Below are 23127 nucleotides of genomic sequence, written 5' to 3' on the forward strand. Positions count from 1 at the left end.
TAAATAGGTAGAAGGTGGACAGATCTGCTGGCTTTATGGGGCAAAACCAACTCCCTTGAAAATTAGTCTGCCACAGCAATCCCGTTTCTATCTCCTCACTATTCCTATTTCCCAATTCTTACCTTTCATTTATGCTAGCTGAATTTAGAAGTAATTAAGAGGAAATAGTGAGAGACTTCAGGCTGCCTCCCCCAACCCCTCTCATCTCTCTCTTTCTCATAGACACACACACATACCTATGTGTGCACATGTAAATATCTCCCCACAAAATATATCTAAGAATGATTGTATCTGTTTATATTATGGCAGCTACTCTGAATTGATCAGTTTTGGTTTTAGGCAATCAGTGAGACAATCAGTGAAGCCCTGTTAGTCCCCATTCTGCTTATCTAAACTCCTCCTTTTCTTCTCCAGTGTTTAGCTCTTGCCCCTCCCCTGTTTGTTTCAGTGCTGGGGAGAAACCTAGAAGTAATGAGTGGGCAGGGACTCTTGGGTGGCTTTTTGTGTTGCCATACTGAGCTATCCCTTGAGCACAGGGAATCAACAATTTGCTGGGATTGTCTGGTGACTCGGAGACAGGCAGAAGAGGTAAAGAAAGGGGACTTGGTAATAGATATTGAAAAGACCAGCGGCCGGCTAGGCACAGTGGCTCACGCCTGTAATCCCAGCACTTTGGGAGGCCGAGACAGGCGGATCACAGGTCAGGAGATCAAGACCAGCCTGGCGAACATTGTGAAACCCTGTCTTTACTAAAAATACAAAAACTAGCTGAGTGTGGTGGCACACACCTGTAATCCCAGCCACTTGGGAGGCTGAGACAGGAGAATTGCTTGAACCTGGGAGTGCAAAGATCATGCCATTGCACTCCAGCCTGGGGACAGAGCAAGCTCTGTCTCAAAAAACAAACAAAAAAGAACAGCTGCCTACCGCCACCCCAACCTCTGTGACAGATGGACTGCATATACCCTTTTAGAGTGGTTGCCCATTCAAGGTTTAGTTTTTTTTTTTTTTTTTTTTTTTTTTTTGAGCTGGAGTCTCACTCTGTTGCCCAGGCTGGAGTGCAGTGGTGCAATCTTGGCTCACTGCAAGCTCCACCTCCCGGGTTCACGCCATTCTCCTGCCTCAGCCTCCCAAGTAGCTGGGACTACAGGCGCCTGCCACCACGCCTGGCTAATTTTTTGTATTTTTAGTGGAGACGGGGTTTCACCGTGTCAGCCAGGATGGTCCCGATCTCCTGACCTCGTGATCCACCCGCCTTGGCCTCCCAAAGTGCTGGGATTACAGGCGTGAGCCACCGTGCCTGGCCGAGGTTTAGTTTTATATTTATTGAGTACTTGAATTTGGGGCTTAAATTTTAAACTTATTTTCTCAAGCTAACTTTTTCTAGGAAGAAAGGTTCTGCAGGCTGGAAAAGTAGGGGGAAGATAAGAGAAAGAAAAAAAAATAAGATGGGATGTACCAATGAAGAAAAATACGATGAGAGGGTCTATGAAAAGTCCGGTTTGTGAAAGATAGAAAGTATATGAAAAGAATAAGCAAATAGATTAATACCATTTAAAAACATTTCTGCAGAAACTTGCAAAAAAAAAAAAGAAAATACTAAAAAAGAGAAATTTTTGGCCAGTTGGCAGTGGCTCATATCTGTAATCCCAGAACTTTGGGAGGCCAAGGTGGGCGGATCACTTGAGGTCAGGAGTTTGAAACCAGCCTGACCAACATGGTGAAACCCTGTCTCTACTAAAAATACAAAAATTAGGCCAGGCGTGGTGGTGCGTACCTGTAGTCCCAGCTACTCAGAAGGCTGAGGCGGGAGAATCGCATGAACCCTGCGGGGGGAGGTTGCAGTGAGCCAAGATCACGCCACTGCACTCCAGCCTGAGCGACGGAGCGAGACTCTGTCTCAAAAAAAAAAAAAAAAAAAAAAAAAAAAAAAAAAAAAACCGGGTGCAGTGGCTTGCACCTGTAATCCCAGCACTTTGGGAGGCTGAGACAGGCTGATCACTTGAGGTCAGGAGTTAGACCAGCCTGGCCAACATATAGTGAAACCCCATCTCTACTAAAAAATATAAAAATTAGCTGGACGTGGTGGTGCCTGCCTGTAGTCCCAGCTACTTGGGAAGCTGAGGCAGGAGAATCGCTTGAACACTGGAGGTGGAGGTTGCAGTGAGCTGAGATCATGCCAACAGAGCGAGACTCTGTCTCTCCAAAAAAAAATAAATAAATAAAAGAAATTTTTTATTCTTTCTCATTCTCTTTCTTCATCTCAGTTAGATTTCAAATTGAGGCCTTTCTATTATTTGACCCACTTTAGGAGGGTGAGCCCAGACTTGACTCTGGCGGGATTTGTATAGATGTTAAAATGTAAAAAGAAGATAGAGAAAAAACAAGAAGGAGAATTAATGCTGGGTCCCAAGTCTTTTTTTTCCCCTTTACTTATTATGGAATGGACTGTGCCCTTTTCAGGAATCAGGATTAAGGCTACAGAGTTCATGCCCAAGTTACTGGTCTTACCAAGGAGATTTTTGGGTATTTAGTTGATTCTGTTTCCATTACCTTCCTGCAGGCATTGGTTGTACTAGACAGTGATGCCCAAATTGTCTTCCAGCTTGCTTTGGAAAATAAGACATGGGACTCAGCAGCACAGAGTGAGAGTGATTTGCTGTATCTGCAGACCCTAGGAAAAGACAGGGAATTCTCTACTGATAGTTAAAATAGTGTTGTTAGACAAGGATTTGAAGAAATGTTATACAGCTAAGTGAAAGTACTCGATAGGTGCTGTATGGTGACTGGTGGCTAAATAAGCTTTACTTTCTAGAAGATATTAATTGCTGCTCTATATTTTTTCAATTTTTTTTGACAGGGAAAACATTTTTTTAAATTACAAACTCAATTTATTTGGTGTATTTCAAAGGTGCAATACTTTTCTTCATGTATCAGTGAAAGAAGTTAGAAATTAACTTCCCAAAAAATCAGCAAATGGCAGACAGATGTCTGTGAAAGTCACAGTCACATACAGTGTGGCCTAGAAAACAGAGGGGCAAGACAGGCTTCACCCACTTTCATGAGTTTCATCAAATACTGGATCTACTCAAGGGTGGAAAGAAAAGGCAACTTTCAAAAAGGAGTATGTTATTAAATGAGGCATTTACTATACTCCTTCCTGAGAGCACCAGATGGGGAACATGTTTTCTAAACTAGATCTAGGAAGTGGATCCTTCCTCCTCCCCTTAAGGGCTATCTACTGGTTAATGAATTAAAAAAACAAGACTGAAAAACAAACTGCACACTCCCCTCAAAAAAAGAGGAGGAAAAACAACAACAACAACAACACACCAAGATGTCCCAGATTACTCTCCAGGGTGGAACCAGGGAACAGCTTCAACAATTCCAATTAGTTTGTTACAGAGTCATCCATAAGCATGCCTTGCTTTTAAACAAATAATAATAAAGTTTTAAAACAACAAAACAAAAACTGGTACTAATCACTTTTCTGACGATACACAATTACTCAAAATTAACTAGTACTGGGAGGGGGAAGGGGGGACCATACCTGTGGGCCTTGTCCCACACAAGTGCATGTGGGTAGGTACGCGGCATTTGTCATTATTGCAAAAATGATTTTTTTTCTTTTTTATTTTTATTTATGTATTTTTGAGACAGAGTCTCACTCAGTTGCCCAGGCTGGAGTGCAGTGGCACGATCTCGGCTCACTGCAAGCTCCACCTCCCGGGTTCATGCCGTTCTCTTGCCTCAGTCTCCGGAGTAGCTAGGACTGCAGGTGCCCGCCACCACACCCGGCTAATTTTGTCTTTGTATTTTTAGTAGAGACGGGGTTTCACTGTGTTAGCCAGGATGGTCTCGATCTCCTGACCTCGTGATCCACCTGCCTTGGCTTCCCAAAGTGCTGGGATTACATGTGTGAGCCACTGCGCCTGGCCTATTTTTTATTTTTTGAGATGGAGTTTCGCTCTTGTTGCCCAGACTGGAGTGCAATGGCACAATTTCGGCTTACTGCAGCCTCCACCTCCTGGGTTCAAGCGATTCTCCTGCCTCAGCCTCCTGAATATATGGGATTACAGGTACGTACCACCACACCTGACTAATTTTCGTATTTTTAGTAGAGACAGGGTTTTGCCATATTGGCCAGCCTGGTCTCGAACTCCTGACCTCAGGTGATCCGCCTGCCTTGGCTTCCCAAAATGCTGGGATTACAGGCTTGAGTCACTGCCCCCAGCCTGAATTTTAATTTTTAATCTTTAGTTTGATTTAAACACTGCTTTTAGTATGATGTCAACACCAGCTATGCAGAAAGGGCTCTGGAGAGATGTTCATAGCAGCACACACCTGCGGCTCTTCTTCGATCCTGGAGGCTCCAGGGCAGCCAATATTGTATCGTCAAATACATTCTTTTTTTTTTTTTCTTTTTGGAGACGGAGTTTCGCTCTTGTTGCCCAGGCTGGAGTGCAATGGCGAGATCTCAGCTTACTGCAACCTTCGCCTCCCAGGTTCAAGCGATTCTCCTACCTCAGCCTCCTGAGTAGCTGGGATTACAGGTGCCTGCCAGCACGCCCGGCTAATTTTTGTGTTTTTAGTAGAGACAGGGCTTCACCATCTTGGCCAGGCTGGTCTTGAACTCCTGACCTCAGGTGACCTGCCCACCTGAGCCTCCCAAAGTGCTGGGATTACAGGCGTGAGCCACCGCACCCGGCCATCAGATACATTCTTTAGGCCTTTCTGTGTGAGTGTAGAACACTCCACATACCTGATGGCCTTCAGGTCATGGGTCAGCTTTTTAGCAGTCTCTGGAGTGATAGGCTTCTGTTTGTTCTTGGCAAGTTTCTCAATAGTAGAGGGGTCATCTCTGAGATCAGTTTGGGTCCCAACAAGCAAGAAAGGAGTCTTTGGGACAGTTAGGCACCCACTTTTTTTCACATTTTCAAATGAAGATGGAGAGACCACTGAAAAACAGACTAGAAATACATCTGTTTGTGGATAACTCAGCGGTCATAATCTGTCATAATCCTTTGCCCTGCAGTATCAAAAATCCAAGAGTGTATGGTTCTCTACCAATCATAACTGTGACTGCATAGTTGTCAAAAACAGTACGTTATTCCGATGGAAATTTGTTTGTCGTGTAGGATATCAGGAGACATGTTTTGCCAACAGCACCATCACCCACAACATATTTAATTGTCTGCATTGCTGAAATAGTTTTGTATCCACTTTAAATATTTCAAATCTGATGTTGACCTCAGCTTCTCCACTGGGGCATTGGCAGCACTCTATTTTTTCTATTTTTAGGTATTTTCCTAATATAAGTCTACAGTTCAGTGTTAGCCAAAGCTCTTAAATATACTATACAGTAGAAAAAAAGTATAGAAATGTTTTCTGAAAAGAATAAGTTACTTAGTGGGGGTGGGGTTGGGGCTCATATGTGATAAATTGGTCTCAAAGTAGTCTTTAACTTTCTAAAATAAAAATCACTCTGTTGTAGCCTAGTGTAAGCGGAATGGATCCGCCTTTCGGGGATGCCTTTCGAAGCCACACCTTTTCGGAACAAACTCTGATGAGCACAGATCTCTTAGCAAACAGTTCGGATCCAGATTTCATGTATGAACTGGTAAGCAACATTTTCTTGGTTTTGGTCTTGATTGATTTGGGGTAAAAGTTTGTGGGAGAGTTTTTTGTTTATAAATGCCTGAAAAAAAAAGATGTGCTTGGGCCAAGTTTGATTCTTATGATTATACCTAGGATAATTTTATTTATTTATTTTTATTTTTATTTTTTTGAGACGGAGTCTCACTCTGTTTCTCAGGCTATAGTGCAGTGGTGTGATCTTGGCTCACTGCAATCTCCACCTCCCAGGTTCAAATGATTCTTCTGCCTCAGCCTCCCAAGTAGCTAGGATTACAGGTGTGTGTCACCACATCCAACTAATTTTGTTTTTTTTTTTTTTTTGAGACAGAGTCTGGCTCTGTTGCCCAGGCTGGAGTGCAGTGGTGCGATCTCGGCTCACTGCAACCTCCATCTCCTGGGTTTAAGCTATTCTTCTACCTCAGCCTCCCAAGTAGCTGGGATTACAGCCACCTGGCACCATGCCCAGCTAATTTTTGCATTTTTAGTAGGGACAGGGTGTCACCACGTTGGCCAGGCTGGTCTCGAACTCCTGACCTCAGGCTATCCACCTGCCTCGGCCTCCCAAAGTCCTGGGATTACAGGCATGAGTCACTGCGCCCAGCCTAATTTTTGTATTTTTAGTGCAGACGGGGTTTCACCATGTCAGCCAGACAGGTCTTGAGCTCCCGACCTCAGGTGATCTGCCCGCCTCGGCTTCCCAAAATGCTGGGATTACAGGCATGAGCCATCGCACCTGGCCTACATCTAGTAATTTTAAAAGTATGCAGCTGTTGGCTGGGCATGGTGGCTCACGCCTGTAATCCCAGCACTTTGGGAGGCCAAGGCGGGCGGATCATGAGGTCAGGAGATTGAGACCATCCTGGCCAACATGGTGAAATTCCGTCTCTGCTAAAAATACAAAAATTAGCTGGGCATGGTAGTGCGCACCTGTAGTCCTAGCTACTCGGGAGGCTGAGGCAGGAGAATTGCTTGAACCAGGGAGTCAGAGGTTGTGGTGAGCCAAGATCGCCCCATAGCATTCCAGTCTGGCAGACTGGAGTCTCAAAAAGAAAAAGGATGCTTCTGGGTATGGTGGCTCATGCCTGTAATCCCAGCACTTTGAGAGGCCGAGGCGGGTGGATCACCTGCCTGAATTTTAATTTTTAATCTTTAGTTTGATTTAAACATTGCTTTTATTTATTTATTTATCTATTTATTTGGGACGGAGTCTCGCTCTGTAGCCCAGGCTGGAGTGCAGTGGCACAGTCTCGGCTCACTGCAACCTCCGCCTCCCAGGCTCAAGCGATTCTCCTGCCTCAGCCTCCCGAGTAGCTGGGATTACAGGCATGCACCACCACACCCGGCTAATTTTTTGTATTTTTAGTAGAGATGGGGTTTCACCATATTGGTCAGGCTGGTCTCGAACTCCTGACCTCGTGATCCACCCACCTCGGAGTGCTGGGATTACAGGTGTGAGCCACCGTGCCCGGCCTTAAACATTGCTTTTAGTATGATGCCGACAGCAGCTGTGCAGAAAGGGCTCTGGAGAGATGGTCATAGCCACACACACCTGCAGCTCTTCTTCCATTCTGGAGGCTCCAGGGCAGCCAATATTGCTTCATCAAATACATTCTTTTTTTTTTTTTTTTTTTTTTTTTTTTTGAGACAGAGTTTCGCTCCTGTTGCCCAGGCTGGAGTGCAATGGCGCAATCTAAAATTAGCTGGGTGTGGTGGTGGGTGCCTGTAATCCCAGCTACTCAGGAGGCTGAGGCAGGAGAATTGCTTGAACCTGGGAGACGGAGGTTGCAGTGAGCGGAGATTGCACCACTGCACTCCAGCCTGGGCAACAAGAGCAAGACCCCGTCTCAAAAAAAAAAAAAAAAAATGAATGCATCAAAAATGGTAAAAGATTATCTAAATATCTTCAAATCTAGTTTTTGATAAAGATAATGGGCTTTTCAGCTGGAAAACATTGAGCAAGGCATGTGAATGACATAAAGAATGTGGCACAAAAATAACAATTCCAAACAGGATCTGCATATACTTAATCATTTATTCTTGAGGTAAATAGACACTTAAAATTCAGAAGAAAAACATTTTAAAAACAGTTTTAATTACATAAAATTGAAATAACACAAAAATATATAAAAACTGGAAAACTGAGTGCTCAAATGCATAAATCTACTAAAAATTATTGAATTGTCTACTTAATATAGGTTGGTTTTATGGTATGTGAAATTATACTTCAGTAAAGCTGTTAAAACATACACAGACAGGCCGGGCGCAGTGGTCATGCCTGTAATCCCAGCACTTTGGGAGGCTGAGGCAGGTGGATCACAAGGTCAGGAGTTCAAGACCAGCCTGACCAAGATGGTGAAACCTCATCTCTACTAAAAATACAAAAAAATTAGCTGGGCATGGTGGCACGTGCCTGTAATCTCAGCAATTCAGGAGGCTGAGGCAGAGAATTTCTTAAATCTGGAGGAGGAGGTTGCAGTGAGCCAAGATCGCGCCACTGCACTCCAGTCTGGGTGACAGAGTGAGACTCCATCTCAAAAAAAAAAAAAACAAAAAAAAAAACCCATACACAGACAACACACACACACACACACACACCCCAAAAATTAAAGAAAAAAAATAACTCTGGAAGACTCAAAACGTCCTCATTTTCTTTCTGTGCCTCCACCTTCCAAACCTTTTACCAAAACGTAACTAACAGGTTCTTTTCCATGCATATGTAAACATATGTATATAGTTTTTTTGTATATACTTTTTAATTGGATAATATAGATAACAGTTTTCTGTAACTTGCTCTTTTAAAAATAAAAATATATGGTGGGCAGTCTTTCATATTTGTACATTAGAGCTATGCTGCATTCATTTCAATGGCTGCAGAGTCTTAACTGATATTTGAAATTGACATCTCCAGTGGCACATGCCTGTAATCCCAGCAATTTGGGAGGGCAAGGTGGGCAGATCACTTGAGGTCAGGAGTTTGAGACCAGCCTGGTCAACATGGTAAAGCCCTGTCTCTACTTTAAAAAAAAAAAAAAAGAAAAAAAAATCATCTCTAAAATTCGTGAGGAGTATTTTACTCTGCCTGCCCAAGTGTTGTTATAAGGTCTTGCAAAAGATCTTACCATTCTGTGGTTGAATTCCAACTCTCTTTGGATTGCTCTTTGCCTCTATATTTAAGTTCCCACTAAAAAGATATCCTCTTCTGTAATGAGGGTGTCTTTATTATTTTCATTGTTAATATTTTAAATTCTTCTCTCTCACTTATCACATTGTTTGCTTTTTAGTTGAAGTGTCTCCCCCTGCCCCCACCCTACCACCACTAAGGAGATCCCAAAATCCTTCTAAGATAAGGAAATGTAAACTTTTTTCAGGCAGAATGTTTATGGTAAACTCAAGAGCCCTTGATATTTGGATCATACCTGAGCCTCTCAAGGGACACACTTTCCGTCTTTTTTAAATTTAATTTTTAATTGATTTTTGTTTGTTTTATTTTCATTCTACTTTTTCTTGCCTAAGGAAATGATGACATTATATGAAATGATAAAGCGTCCTGTCAGTAGCCTTTATGTTAAAACAGACCAAAAGTCAAGTATTGATTTATCAGTTTGACATATGGAGGTGAATATTTCCTTCTGAAATATGATGTGCAATTTCTTTTTTAAAACCTTTCTCAGGATAGAGAGATGAACTACCAACAGAATCCTAGAGACAACTTTCTTTCTTTGGAGGACTGCAAAGACATTGAAAATCTGGAGTCTTTCACAGATGTCCTGGATAATGAGGGTGCTTTAACCTCAAACTGGGAACAGTGGGATACATACTGTGAAGACCTAACGAAATATACCAAACTAACCAGCTGTGACATCTGGGGAACAAAAGAAGTGGATTACTTGGGTCTTGATGACTTTTCTAGTCCTTACCAAGATGAAGAGGTTATAAGTAAAACTCCAACTTTAGCTCAACTTAATAGTGAGGACTCACAGTCTGTTTCTGATTCCCTTTATTACCCCGATTCACTTTTCAGTGTCAAACAAAATCCCTTACCCTCTTCATTCCCTGGTAAAAAGATCACAAGCAGAGCAGCTGCTCCTGTGTGTTCTTCTAAGACTCTGCAGGCTGAGGTCCCTTTGTCAGACTGTGTCCAAAAAGCAAGTAAACCCACTTCAAGCACACAAATCATGGTGAAGACCAACATGTATCATAATGAAAAGGTGAACTTTCATGTTGAATGTAAAGACTATGTAAAAAAGGCAAAGGTAAAGATCAACCCAGTGCAACAGAGCCGGCCCTTGTTGAGCCAGATTCACACAGATGCAGCAAAGGAGAACACCTGCTACTGTGGTGCAGTGGCAAAGAGACAAGAGAAAAAAGGGATGGAGCCTCTTCAAGGTCATGCCACTCCCGCTTTGCCTTTTAAAGAAACCCAGGAACTATTACTAAGTCCCCTGCCCCAGGAAGGTCCTGGGTCACTTGCAGCAGGAGAGAGCAGCAGTCTTTCTGCCAGTACATCAGTCTCAGATTCATCCCAGAAAAAAGAAGAGCACAATTATTCTCTTTTTGTCTCCGACAACTTGGGTGAACAGCCAACTAAATGCAGTCCTGAAGAAGATGAGGAGGACGAGGAGGATGTTGATGATGAGGACCATGATGAAGGATTCGGCAGTGAGCATGAACTGTCTGAAAATGAGGAGGAGGAAGAAGAGGAAGAGGATTATGAAGATGACAAGGATGATGATATTAGTGATACTTTCTCTGAACCAGGTATTATAATGCTTGCAAGCTTACCAGACTGACCTTTGTATTACTATTTTGAAATAGAAAGGTTTTTGTTTCTGTTTTGTTTGGATAATTTCTTTATTTTAGTTTGGGAATTAAATGACTTAAACCTTGGATTGGATATGTAATTGGTTTTTCTATTCAAATAGCTCTAAAATGATCACTTTTGCTCACATAGGGATTCATAAGCTGATTCCTTGAGGGCTTATTTTTTATTATTTTATTTCTTATTTTTAAAATTAAAATAGAGATGAGAGCTTGCCACTGTGCCCAGCTGAGGACTTATTCTTAATGTATCTTATGTTAAGTGACCTGTTTTGTCACTCTCTTGAGCATTTATGCAAAGACACCAATAATTTATTGGTTTAAAAAATATTCCTGTTTAGGGCCAGGCGCAGTGGCTCACGTTAGTAATCCCAGCACTTTGGGAGGCCGAGGTGGGCGGATCACCTGAGGTCAGGAGTTAAAGACCAGCCCGGCCAACACAGCGAAACCCTGTCTCTACTAAAAATACAAAAATCAGATGTGGTGGCACGCATCTGTAATCCCAGCTACTCCAGAGGTTGAGGCGGGAGAATCACTTGAACCCAGGAGGCTGAGGTTGCGGTTAGCTGACATCGCACCATTGCACTCCAGCCTGGGCAACAGGAGTGAAAGTCTGTCTCAATAACAACAAAAAATAATAAATAAAAATATTACTGTTTATGCATGTGTCTCTCTATTATAGTTGAGATAAGTTAGGAGTATATAGAATGTTGAACCAAGTGATGATGGTTTATATTACTCATTCCAATACCCAACAAAGTCTATTTATGAATAATGTAAAAGCATTTTCTTTGTGTCTGCTAACATTTTAATTTACATCGTATTTTCCTATTTAAGAAAAATACATGCTGTAATTTGGTGAGCATGAAGGAGACTCTGCTTTATTTATATACAGCGCATATAAATAAAAGGGACAAAGAAAATGAAATCTCTGGGGGAACTGGTTCACTTTAGCATTTACATGCTTGGGCTTTTGGCGCTGTTGGCTTGTGCAGTTTATTTATAAAAATAGTATTGCCAAGTGGCACATGGTTGAAAATGCACAAAGAAGTAAAGATCTTTAAATTTAAACTAAAGTTATCTTCTTCAAAAATATTGTTGGTACTAACTCTGCATGAAAACTAAGTTATTATTTAAAAAAAAACTATCAAAGAGAGCCCTTTTGTTATAATGATGATTGCTGGAATTTCAGGCAGTATAAACATAGATATTTAATTTTCTGAAAGGCGTTTAAAGCATAATACCTATATTGTAACTAGTGAAACATTATTCTTACTAAAAGAATTTTTCCTTTGGTGAAATCTTTCTATTACACAAATGCTTTGATTTATGCATTTGACACAAACATTTTTTGATTTGGGTGGAGTTTCAGGTAAGTAAAAGGTACTTGAATATGGAAGAAAAGGGATTGTGCCTTCTTCATTGGTTTACTGTACAACTCTATATAGTCTAGGTAGAATAATGTCTTTTTACAATACAGGAAAATTTTTCTCTTGGCAAGTGAATAAAATCTGCTTTGAGATATTTCAAGGAGACTTGACTTTGTAGGTAGGGGTAATTTATATAACTCCCTGCACTTGGAAGATCATAGTGCTCTTCATAAGTGGTCCTTAAAGTCTTGACAGATTGGTCCTGTTGCTTTGAGTCTCGTATTTAGGAGCAGGGAGGGGAAGGGTGAAACAAAGAGAGGATGGGTAATTAAGGGAAATGGCAAATGTGGGGAAGGAAATGCCTTTAGCAGCTGGTGCTTAAAGGAATATATAGATCAGAAGGAGTCAGTAAATCCTACCATCACCAAGGCAGCAAGGACTATATTATCTACCTGACTTTTGATTGTAGTTTTGCTTTTCTTTGACTTTTTCCCCCCAGCTTTATTGAGGTATGTTTGGCAAATAAAAATTGTATACGTTTAAAGTGTACAACATGTTTTTACATATGTATACATTGTGAAATGATTACTAAAATCAGGCTAATTAACATACCCATCACTTCACATAGTAGGGTGGTAAGAACATTTAAGATCTACTCTCTTAACAAATTTGGCCTACACAATACAGTTGTTGTTGTTGTTTTGAAACAAGATATGGCTCAATTGCCTAGGCTGGAGTGCGGTGGCACAATCTTGGCTCACTGCAACCTCTGCTTCCCTGGCTCAAGCCACCCTCCCACCACAGCCTTCCAAGTAGCTAGGACCACAGGCGTGCACCATCATGCCCAGCTAATTTTTGTATCTTTTGTTGAGATGGGGTTTTGCCATGTTGCCCAGGCATGTCTTGAACTTGTGAACTCAAGCCACCTGCCCGCCTCAGCCTTCCAAAGTGCTGGAATTACAGGCGTGAGCCACCACACCCAGCCCAGTATTGTTATCTGTAGTCACAATGCTGTATGTTAGATCTCCAGAGCTTATTCATCCTGCATAACTGAAACTTTGTACCTTTTGGCCAACATCTTCCCATTTCCCCCACCCACCAGCCCCTGGCAACCTCCATTCTACTTTTTACTCTCTGATCCTGAGTTTGACTTTTTTTCTAAGATTTCGCATGTAAATGAGATCATGCTGTATTTGTCTTTCTGTGCCTGGCTTATTTAACTTAGCATGATGTCTTCCAGGTTCATCCATGTTATTACAAAGACAGGATTTCCTTTCTTTTTAAGGCTGAATAATATTCCTGTGTGTGTGGGCATGTGCGTATAACTCTCACATTTTCTTTATGTATATGTTCATTGTTGGCCCCTTTGTTGATTCCTTATCTTGGATTATGTGAATACTGTTGCAATGAACATAGGAATGCAGATATCTCTTCAAGATACTGGCTTTATTTATTTTGGCTGTATCCCCAGAAGTGGGATTGCTGGATCATATGATCGTTCTATTTTTAATTTTTTGAGGAACTTCCATGCTGTTTTCCATAATGACTGTACCAATTTACATTCCCACTAATAGTTTACAAGAGTTCTCTTTTTTCCACATCCTCAATAACACTTGCTTTCATTTATCTTTTTGGTAATAGCCATGCCGACAGGTATGAGGTGATATCTCATTGTGGCTTTCGTTTGTATTTCTCTGATGATTAGTGGTATTGAGCATGTTTTCATATACTTGTTGGCCATTTGGATGTCTTTTTAAAAATGTTTATTCAGGTCCTTTGCCCATTTTTTAATTGGATTGTTTTCTTGCTATTACATTGTTTGGGTTCCTTGTATATTTTGGATATTAACTCCTTATCAGATGTATGGTTTGCAGATATTTTTCTTTCATTTCATAGGTAGTCCCTTCACTCTGTTAATTGTTTATTTTGCTCTGTGGGAGCTTTTTGGTTTGATGCAATCTCATTTGTTTTATTTTTGCTTTTGTTGCTAGTGCTTTTAGAATTATACATTTAAAAAATCATTGCCCAGACCAATGTCAAGAATCCTTTTTCATGTTTTCTCCTAGTATTTTTATTATTTAGTTCTTATGTTTAAGTCTTTAATCCATTTCGAGTTGATTTTTCAATATGGTATGAGATAAGGGTCTCCAGTGTCATTATTTTGCCTTTGAATATCCAGTTTTCCCATAACCATTTATTGAAGAGACTATCCTTTACTTATTGTTGTTTCTGGCACCTTTGCCAAGAATTAATTAATTGGACATAATGTGGGAATTTATTTCTGGGCTCTCTGTTTCATTGGTATATATGTCTGTTTTTATGCCAGTACCATATTGTTATAATTACTATAGCTTTTTTTTTTTTTTTTTTTTTTTGAGATGGAGTCTCGTTCTGTTGCTCAGGCTGGAGTGCAGTGGCCCGATCTTGGCTCACTGCAAGCTCCGCCTCCCAGGTTCACGCCATTCTCCTCCCTCAGCCTCCCAAGTAGCTGGGACTACAGGCGCCCGCCACCACGCCCAGCTAATTTTTTTGTATTTTTAGTAGAGACGGGGTTTCACTGTCTTAGCCAGGATGGTCTCGATCTCCTGACCTCGTGATCTGCCAGCCTCGGCCTCCCAAAGTGCTGGGATTACAGGCATGAGCCACCGTGCCTGGCCTATAATTACTAAAGCTTTGTAATATATTTTGAAATCAGATAATATGATGCCTCCAGTTTTGTTTTTCTTACCCAAGATAGCTTTGGCTATTCAGAATCTTTTGTGATTTCATATGAGTTTTAGGGTCTTTTTCCCTTTGTTTAAGGATTGCATTGAATTTGTAGTTCATTTTGGGTGATATGGATATTTTGGCCGTATTAATTCTTCCAATCCATAAACATAGGATATCTTTCTATTTATTTGTGTCTTCAGTTTCTTTCACCAATGTTGTATAGTTTTCAATGTATAGATCTTTCACTTTCTTGGTTAAATTTTTTTCTAAGTTTTTTTTTTTTAGTGTGATACTGTTGTAAATGGGATTTTTTTCTAATTTCTTTTTTGGATAGTTGTTAGCATATAGAAACACAAGTGATTTTTGAATAATGATTTTGTATCCTGCAGCTTTACTGAATTAGTTTATTAGTTCTAACAGTTCTATGGTGAAGTCTTTTCTTTTTTTGAGACAGAGTCTTGCTCTGTTGCCCAGGCTGGAGTGCAGTGGCGCCATCTGGGCTCACTGCAAACTCCGCCTCCCGGGTTATGCCATTCTCCTGCCTCAGCCTCCTGAGTAGCTGGGACTACAGGTGCCTGCCACCAAACCCGGCTAATTTTTTTGTATTTTTAGTAGAGGCGGGGTTTCACTGTGTTAGCCAGGATGGTCTCGATCTCCTAACCTTGTGATCCGCCCGCCTTGGCCTCTCAAAGTGCTGGGATTACAGGCGTGAGCCACTGCGCCCAGCCTATGGTGAAGTCTTTAGGGTTTTCTAGATACAAGATCATGTCATCTACTAACAGAGACAATTTCTTTTCCTATTTGGATGCCTTTCCTTCTTTGTTTTCTTTCTTCCCCTGCCTCCCTTCCCTCCCTTCCTTTTCTCTTTCCTTTTCCCTTCCCTTCCCTTCCCTTCCCTCCCCTCCCCTCTCCTCCCCTCTCCTCCCTCCCCTCCCCTTTCTGTGTCCAGTCCCTCCCCTGCCCTCCTCTCCCCTCTTGCCCCTTCCCCCTCCCCTCCCCTTCCCTTTCCTTTCCTTTTGCATAATTTCTCTAGATAGGACTTCCAGTATTATCAATACATGGAATAGTAGTTGAGAGAATGGGCATCCTTATCTTGTTCCTGGTCTTAGAGGAAAAGCTTTCAGGTTTTCATCACTGAGTATGGTGTTAGCTATGGGTTTGTCGTGTATGGCCTTTATTATGTTGAGGTACGTTCCTTTTATATGTAATTTGTTAAATTTTATTTTATCATGAAAGCATGTTGATTTTTTAAAGCAAATTCTTTCAGATCTTGAAGCATGTTGAATGTTGTCACATGTTCTTTCCATATCTATTGAGACGATTATATTGTTTTTATCCTTCAGTCTGTTAATGTGGCATATCATTGATTGATTTGCATATATTGAATCATCCTTGCATCTCAAAGATAAATCCCACTTCATCATGATGTATGATCCTTTTAGTGTGCTGTTGAACATGGCTTGCTAGTATTTTGTTGAGGATTTTTGCATCCATGTCCATCAGGGGTACTGGCCTGTGATTTTCTTACCTCGTGTGTTCTTGTTTGGTTTTGGTATCATGGTAATACTGGCCTCATAAAATGAGTTTGGAAATGTTCTCTCCTCTACATTTCTTTAGAAGTATTAGAGAAGGATTGGTATTAATTCTTCCTTCAATATTTGGTAGAATTTACTAGTGAAGTCAGCAGGCCCTTGGCTTTAGTTCATTGAGAGTTTTTGTTTGTTTGAGACAGTCTTGCTCTGTCACCCAGGCTGGAGTGCAGTGGCATGAACTCGGCTCACTGCAATTTTCGCCTCCAGGGTTAAGTGATTCTCCTGCCTCAGCCTCCTGAGCAGTTGGGACTACAGGCACTCACCACCATGCCTGGCTAATTTTTGTATTTTTAGTAGAGATGAAGTTTCGTCATGTTGGCCAGGCTAGTCTGGAACTCCTGACCTCAGTTGATCTGCCCGCCTCGGCCTCCCAAAGTGCTGGGATTACAGATGTGAGCCCTCGTGCCTGGCCGACAGTTTCTGATTACTGATTCAGTGTTCTTTCTTGTTATTGGTTTGTTGAACTTTTCTATTTTTTTCATGATTCAGTCTTGGTATGTTTCTAGGAAGTTATCCATTTCTTCTAGGTTATTCAATTTGTTAGTGTATAATTGTTTATAGTAGTCCTTAATGATTCTTTGCATTTCTGTGGTATTAAATCTGATTTCTCCTCTTTCATTTATAATTTTATTGATTTGAGTCTTTTTTCTTAATTTAGCTAAAAGATTGTGAATTTTGTTTTCATTTCAACAAAAAACTCTTCATTGATCTTTTCTATTGTTTTTTAGTGTCTAATTCATTTATTTCTGCTCTGATCTTTGTTATTTTCTTCCTTCTGCTAACTTTGGGTTAGTTCTTCTTTTTCTACTTCCTTGAGGTGTAAAGTTTGGTTGTTTATTTGAGATCTTTTTTTTTTCTTTGTCGTAGTTGTTTATTACCATAAGATTCCCTCTTGGATTTGCTTTTGCTTTATCCCGTAAGTTTTGATATGTTGTGTTTCCATTTTTGTTTGTCTCAACATATTTTTCTATTCCTCTTTTGATTTCTTTGACCCATTGGTTGTTCAGGAGTTTGTTGTTTAATTTCTACCTATTTGTCAATTTTCCAATTTTCCTTCTTTTTTTTTTTTTTTTGACATGGAGTCTCGCTCTGTCACCCAGGCTGGAGCGCAGTGGCGCAATCTCTGCTCACTGCAAGCTCCGCCTCCCGGGTTCAGCCATTCTCCTGCCTCAGCCTCCTGAGTAGCTGGTACTACAGGCGCCCGCCACTACGCCTGGCTAATTTTTTGTATTTTTTAGTAGAGATGGGGTTTCATTGTGTTAGCCAGGATGGTCTCAATTTCCTTCTGATTTCCTTCTGATTTCTAGTTATACAGTTGCCAAAATATCATACTTGGTATTATTTCAGTCTTCTTAAATTTGTTAAGTAAGACTTGTTTTGTGGCCTAACATATGATCTAAACTAGAGAATGTTCTGTCTGTGCTTGAAAAGAGTATATATTCTGCTGCTGTCAGAATGTTCTATATATGTCTGTTAGGTCCATTTGGTCTGAAGTGTTATTCAAATCCATTGTTTTTTTAATTGATATTCTGATGATCTATCCATTGTTGAAAATGGAGTGTTGAAGTCCCCTATATTACCGTCTGTTTTTTCCTTTAGTTCTATTAATATTTGGTTCATTTACTTAGGTGCTTTGATATTGGGAGTACATACATTTACTATGTATACAACCTCTTGATAAATCAACAAACCCTTTATTATTATATAAAGACCTTCTTTGTCTTGTGATAGTTGTTATTTTTTTACTTTTTTTTTTTTTTTTGAGACAGAATCTTACTCTGTTACCCAGGCTGCTGGTGTGCACCAGTACTATCACAGCTCACTGCAGTGTCAACTACTTGGGCTCCAGCAGTACCACTGCTTCAGCCTCCTGAGTAGCTGGGACTATAGGTGTGTGCCACCTCTTGTGACAGTTTTTGATTTAACATCTATTTTGTCTGATGTAAGTATAGCCAGCTCTGTCCTTTTTGGTTGCCATTTCCATGGAATATCTCTTTTCATTTCTTCACTTATGGCTTACATGCATCCTTTTTATTTTTTTGAGACAGGTTCTTATTCTGTTGCCCAGGCTGGAGTGCAGTGGTGCAATCACTGCTCACTACAGCCTTGACCTGCCAGACTCAAGCAATCTTCCCACCTCAGTCTCCTGAGTAGTTAGGACTACAGGCATGCACCCCCATACCCAGCTAATTTTGGTATTGTTTGTAGAGATGAGGTCTCCCTATGTTGCCTAGGCTGGTCTTGAACTTCTGGGCTCAAGTGACCTGCCTGCCTTGGCCTCTCAAAGTGCTGGGATTACAGGTGTGAGCCACTATGCCTGGCTATATGCATCCTTAAAGCTAAAGTGATTTTCTTGTGGGCAACATAGAGTTGGTTCTTGGTTTTCTATTCATTCAGCCACTCTATATCATTTTACTGGGTATTGATAGGTAAGGATTTACTGTTAACCATTTTGTTAATGTTTTCTGACTGTTTTATAGTCCTTTTGTTACTTCCTCTCTTGCTCTCTTCCTCTGTGATTTGCTGGTTTTTTGTAGTGGTATGCTTTGATTCCTTTTTCTTTATCTTTTGTGTTATCTATACTACAGATTTTTCTTTGTGATTATCATGGGGCTTACATAAAACACAAGTCTTTTTTAAGCTGGTAATAGTTTTAACTTCGGCTATATGTAAAATCTCTACACTTTACACTTTTTATTGATACTACAGTTAACATCTTTTCATATTGTGTATCCCTTAAGAAATTATTTTATATATAGCTTTTTTTTTTTTTTTTGAGACAGAGTCTTGCTCTGTCATCCAGGCTGGAGTGCAGTGGCACAGTCTTGGCTCACTGCAACCTTGGCTCACTGCAACCTCCTCCTCCCAGGTTTGAATGATTCTCCTGCCTTAGCCTCCCAAGTAGCTGGGATTACAGGCACCTGCCACCACACCTGGCTAATCTTTTGTGTGTGTGTGTGTGTGTGTGTGTGTGTGTGTGTGTGTGTATATATATATAATTTTTTTTTTTTTTTTTTTTTTTTAGTAGAGACAGGGTTTCATCATGTTGGCCAGGCTGGTCTCAAACTCTTGACCTCAAGTGATCCGCCCACCTCGGCCCTCCAAAGTGCTGGGATTAGTAGTGTGAGTCACCATGCACAGCCAAAATTATTTTATATATAGTTATTTTTAATGCCTTTTTAACTTTTATACTAGCATTAAAAGTGTTTTGCATACCACTGTTACAGTATTAGAGCATTCTGAATATGACTGTTCTTATTTTTACACAGTGAATTTTATACTTTCATGTTTTTCTTTTCTTTTTTTTTTGGAGATGGAGTCTCACTCTCTCGCCCAGGCTGGAGTGCAGTGGCGTGATCTCAGCTCACTGCAACTCCACCTCCCGGGTTCAAGCGATTCTCCTGCCTCAGCCTCCTGAGTAGCTGAGATTACAGGTGACCACCACCACGCCCTGCTAATTTTTGTATTTTTAGTAAAGACAGTGTTTCACCATGTTGGCCCGGCTAGTCTCAAACTCCTGACCTCAGGTGATCCACCTACCTCAGCCTCGAAAAGTGCTGGGATTACAGGCGTGAGCCACACCGCTCCCCCCCAACCCATATGTTTTCATGCTGTTAGTTAGCATCCTTTCATTTCAACTTGAAGAACTCCCATTAACATTTCTTGTGAAGCAGTCCTACTGGTGATGAACTCCCTCAGCTTTTGTTTTCTGGGAGTCTTTTTTGTTTTCCCTTAAGAGAGAGGGTCTCACTGTGTTACTCAGGCTGGTCTTGAACTCCTGAGCTTAAGCAATCTTCCCAGTTCAGTCCTCTTGAGTAGCTGGAACTACTGATGTGCATCATCATGCCCAACTTAGGAAAGCTTTTATTTATTTTTTTCATTTGTGAAGGACAGCTGGCTTGCTGGATATGGTGTTCTTTGTAGGGTATTGTTTTTGTTTTTTTCTCTGAGACAGGGTCTTAACTCTTGCTCAGGCTAGAGTGCAATGGCGTGATCCTAGCTTACTGCACCCTCAATCTCCTGGGCTCAAGCAATCCTTCCACCTCAGCCTCCCAAGTAGCTGAGGTGTATGCCACCACACCCAGCTAATTTTTGTATTTTTTTTGTAGAGATGGGGTTTTACCATGTTACCCAGGCTGGTCTTATACTCCTGGGCTGAAGCATTTTACCTGCCTTGGCCTCCCAGAGTGCTGGAATTACTTGCATGAGCCACCATGCCCAGCCCAGTGGTTTTTTTTCTTTCAGCACTTTGAATATGTTATCTCACTCTCTTCTAGCCTTCAAGGTTTCTGCTGAGAAAACCACTGACAGTCTTATGAGAGTTTCATTGTATATGACAAGTTGCTTTTCTCTTGCTGCTTTCAAAAGTCTGTTTGTCTTTGACTTTCCAGAATTTGATTATAATGTGTCTTAGTGAAGTTTTTTTTTTTTTTTTAAGACGAAGTCTTGCCACTCTGTCGCCCAGGCTGGAGTGCAGTGGCACCATCTTGACTCACTGCAACCTCTGCCTCCTGGGTTCAAGTGATTCTCCTGCCTCAGCCTCCTGAGTAGCTGGGATTACCGACACCCACCATACCTAGCTAATTTTTGTATTTTTAGTAGAGACGGGGTTTCACCATGTTGGTCAGGCTGGTCTTGAACTCCTGACCTCAGGTGATCTGCCCCATCGGCCTCCCAAAGTGCTGGGATTACAGGTGTGAGCCACCGCGCCCGGCCTGTCATTATTACTTTAAATAAGCTTTCTGCCCCTTTCTCTTTCTTTACTCTTTTCACTATTCCTATAATGTGCATTTCATTTTGCTTGATGGTGTCCTATAAATCCTGTAGGCTTTCTTTATTCTTTTTCATTCCTTTTTCTTTTTGTTCCTCTAACTGGATAATTTCAAATGACCTGTCTTGGAGCTCACTGCTTCTTTCTTCTGTTTGATCAAGTCTTCTGTTGAATTGCCCTATGGAATATTTCAGTTTAGTCCTTGTGTTCTTCAGCTCTAGATTGCATTTGGTTGTCTATGTTCTCTTGTTGCTCACTGAGCTTCTTTAAGACAATTATTTTGAATTCTTTGTTAGGAAGTTCATAGATCTGCATTATTTTGGATCAGTTGCTGGTGCTTAATTTTCTTCCTTTGCTAGTGTCATTTGTCCCTGATTATTTGTGATCCTTGTGGCCTTTAATTGGTGTCTATACATTTAAACATGTGGACTCCTCTTCCAGTCTTTATAGACTGGCTTTGCCAAGGAAAGCCCTTCACTTGTCAGGTCATCTAGAGGTTCTGGGTGGGCTTGCTGAAGGGCTCTGCAGGCAAGTTTGCTCCTGGAGTCCTTGGGTAGGCTGGCCTATTGCTGGAGTCAGCAGCCAGGTGGGTCTGAGGCTTGGGTCTGTAGAGGTCATCCTGGTGCCTGGTACTGTGGAAGCAGGCCTGGAGCCTGGATCATTTGGGGTCAGTCTGAAACCTGGGTCCATAGGAGCTGAACCGGCAGTGGGGTGGGCTTTGAGTCTGAATCCACGAGAACTTACCTGGCACCTGTATCTGTGGGAGTGGACTTGGTCCTGACTCCACAGGCACCAGCGTGGCATGGGGGTCTCTTGGGGCAGGCCTGTCAACTAGGACTGTGGGTGTGAGCCTGGAGTCCAGGACTCCAGGGATGGGTGGGCCCTGAGCCTAGGTCTGCAGCTGCTGGCTTGGTGCTGGGGTAGACCTGTAACCAGGTTCTGCTGGGGCTAGCTTGGGTCCATGGGAACCATTTTGGAGCTTGGGGCCATACTTTTCTTTGACCTTTAACTCCACTCTAAATTCATCCTTGATCTCTTGACTTCATTCCTTCTGGATGTGTTGAGAGATAAGGAGGTCTGTGAAGGGAGATCACATGGTTAATTGATCGCCATTTTTATTTTCTCATCCCTTTGACTCTCACAGGGAGGCAGAACTAGTCACATGTCACATTTTCTTCCCTTGACCCTTGTAGGAGAAGCCTTATTTATTAGCATGTTGCTCTTACATAACAGGACAGTGGCTTTATACATTAGCAGGCATTTGGCAGGGTCAAGTTCTCTTCTTGGACCTATTTGACAATTATCCCAAATTTGTGGATGGCATTTAATTCATTCACTTTCAGTTGACTTGAAGTAAAACCCTTTTGGTTAATATTATTTGGACAGTTCTCACAAATGTTAATGAGCAGCATGCTTTCACCACAAAATTGTGTTAATTTTGTGGTATTATTTGGACTTTATTCACATTTGCTAGTAAAATTTTCTCCTTTTCCTAGAAGAGCTAAACAAGTGACTTTAAAGATGCAAAAGTGAGTTACTGGTGAGAAACAGGAAGAAATTCTTTGTAGCAAAAGAGTAAGGATAGCTATAGTTTCTTCAGTGCTAGTTTAGGGTGGATTGATTGGTTTAATTTATAGCTGACAGTTTACAAAGGTCCTTTTGTGATGACTAGCTCCCTTGATGCTGTTTCTTGGCACTTGGCTACAACAGTTCACGAGCCTACAAAGTTTCAGGAAAGGTGCAAAATGGAGTTTTAGTCTCTTTTCTGGATTGGCTCCCAAATTTTAATAGAGCCTTTTCTGTGGACAGGCTACAACTGTTTGGGGTCATGAAATTACATGATTGTAAGGCTAAGAATGGGCTCACAGAATGAGAATTTATTTTGTAATTTTCACTAAACATCTTCACAGTTGACTTTACCAGCTTATTGACAGTAGTCTGTACTAACCAGAGATGTGTGATTGAAATTTTAGGCAGTAAATGTGGTATTTGTTACTTTTTTTGGTAATCATGTCAGATAGCAATGAGTTAGATTAGTATGATGATCTATCACATGAAAAGAAAAGGGAAAGGCCTTAATAGGAAATGTTGCATTAAACAACATCATGAATTTGTTTTAAAAAATTTTGAGTGCCTACTTTTGTGGCAGGCACTGTGTATATTAGGTACTGGCTATACAGAGATGAAAAAAGTAGACATCTTTATCTTCATGGAATTTAGTGTTAAGTGG

At 41.1% G+C, this 23127-nt stretch overlaps 1 protein-coding gene and 1 pseudogene across 8 annotated transcripts in view, besides 1 other annotated feature; one reads left to right on the forward strand and one right to left on the reverse strand.

The window, feature by feature from the left end:
* CREBRF (CREB3 regulatory factor) overlaps window positions 1-23127 on the forward strand; it is an 82933-nt gene that overhangs the window by 24655 nt on the left and 35151 nt on the right. For 6 of the 8 annotated variants that reach the window (XM_005265821.4, NM_153607.3, XM_011534442.2 and 3 more), the window contains 2 exons: window positions 5495-5620; window positions 9309-10395. In XM_005265821.4, the coding sequence (XP_005265878.1) occupies window positions 5510-5620; window positions 9309-10395 (1198 nt within the window). In that variant the 5' untranslated portion in view covers window positions 5495-5509. Of the gene's footprint in view, window positions 1-5494; window positions 5621-9308; window positions 11325-23127 lie in introns of those variants that run through there. The other 2 variants (NM_001168394.2, NM_001168393.2) reach the window with 1 other exon arrangement.
* Window positions 370-609: a silencer, noted in NCBI's record as "fragment chr5:172508379-172508618 (GRCh37/hg19 assembly coordinates)". NCBI's record gives its function as "represses an EF-1alpha promoter that drives an FKBP-Casp9 reporter gene in an ReSE screen in HepG2 liver carcinoma cells {active_cell/tissue: HepG2}" and the evidence as "EXISTENCE:reporter gene assay evidence [ECO:0000049][PMID:32094911]".
* On the reverse strand, window positions 4710-5282 carry CDC42P5 (CDC42 pseudogene 5; annotated as a pseudogene).

The sequence above is a fragment of the Homo sapiens genome, chromosome 5, assembly GCF_000001405.40.
Source record: "Homo sapiens chromosome 5, GRCh38.p14 Primary Assembly".
In the NCBI taxonomy this organism is placed as follows: domain Eukaryota; kingdom Metazoa; phylum Chordata; class Mammalia; order Primates; family Hominidae; genus Homo; species Homo sapiens.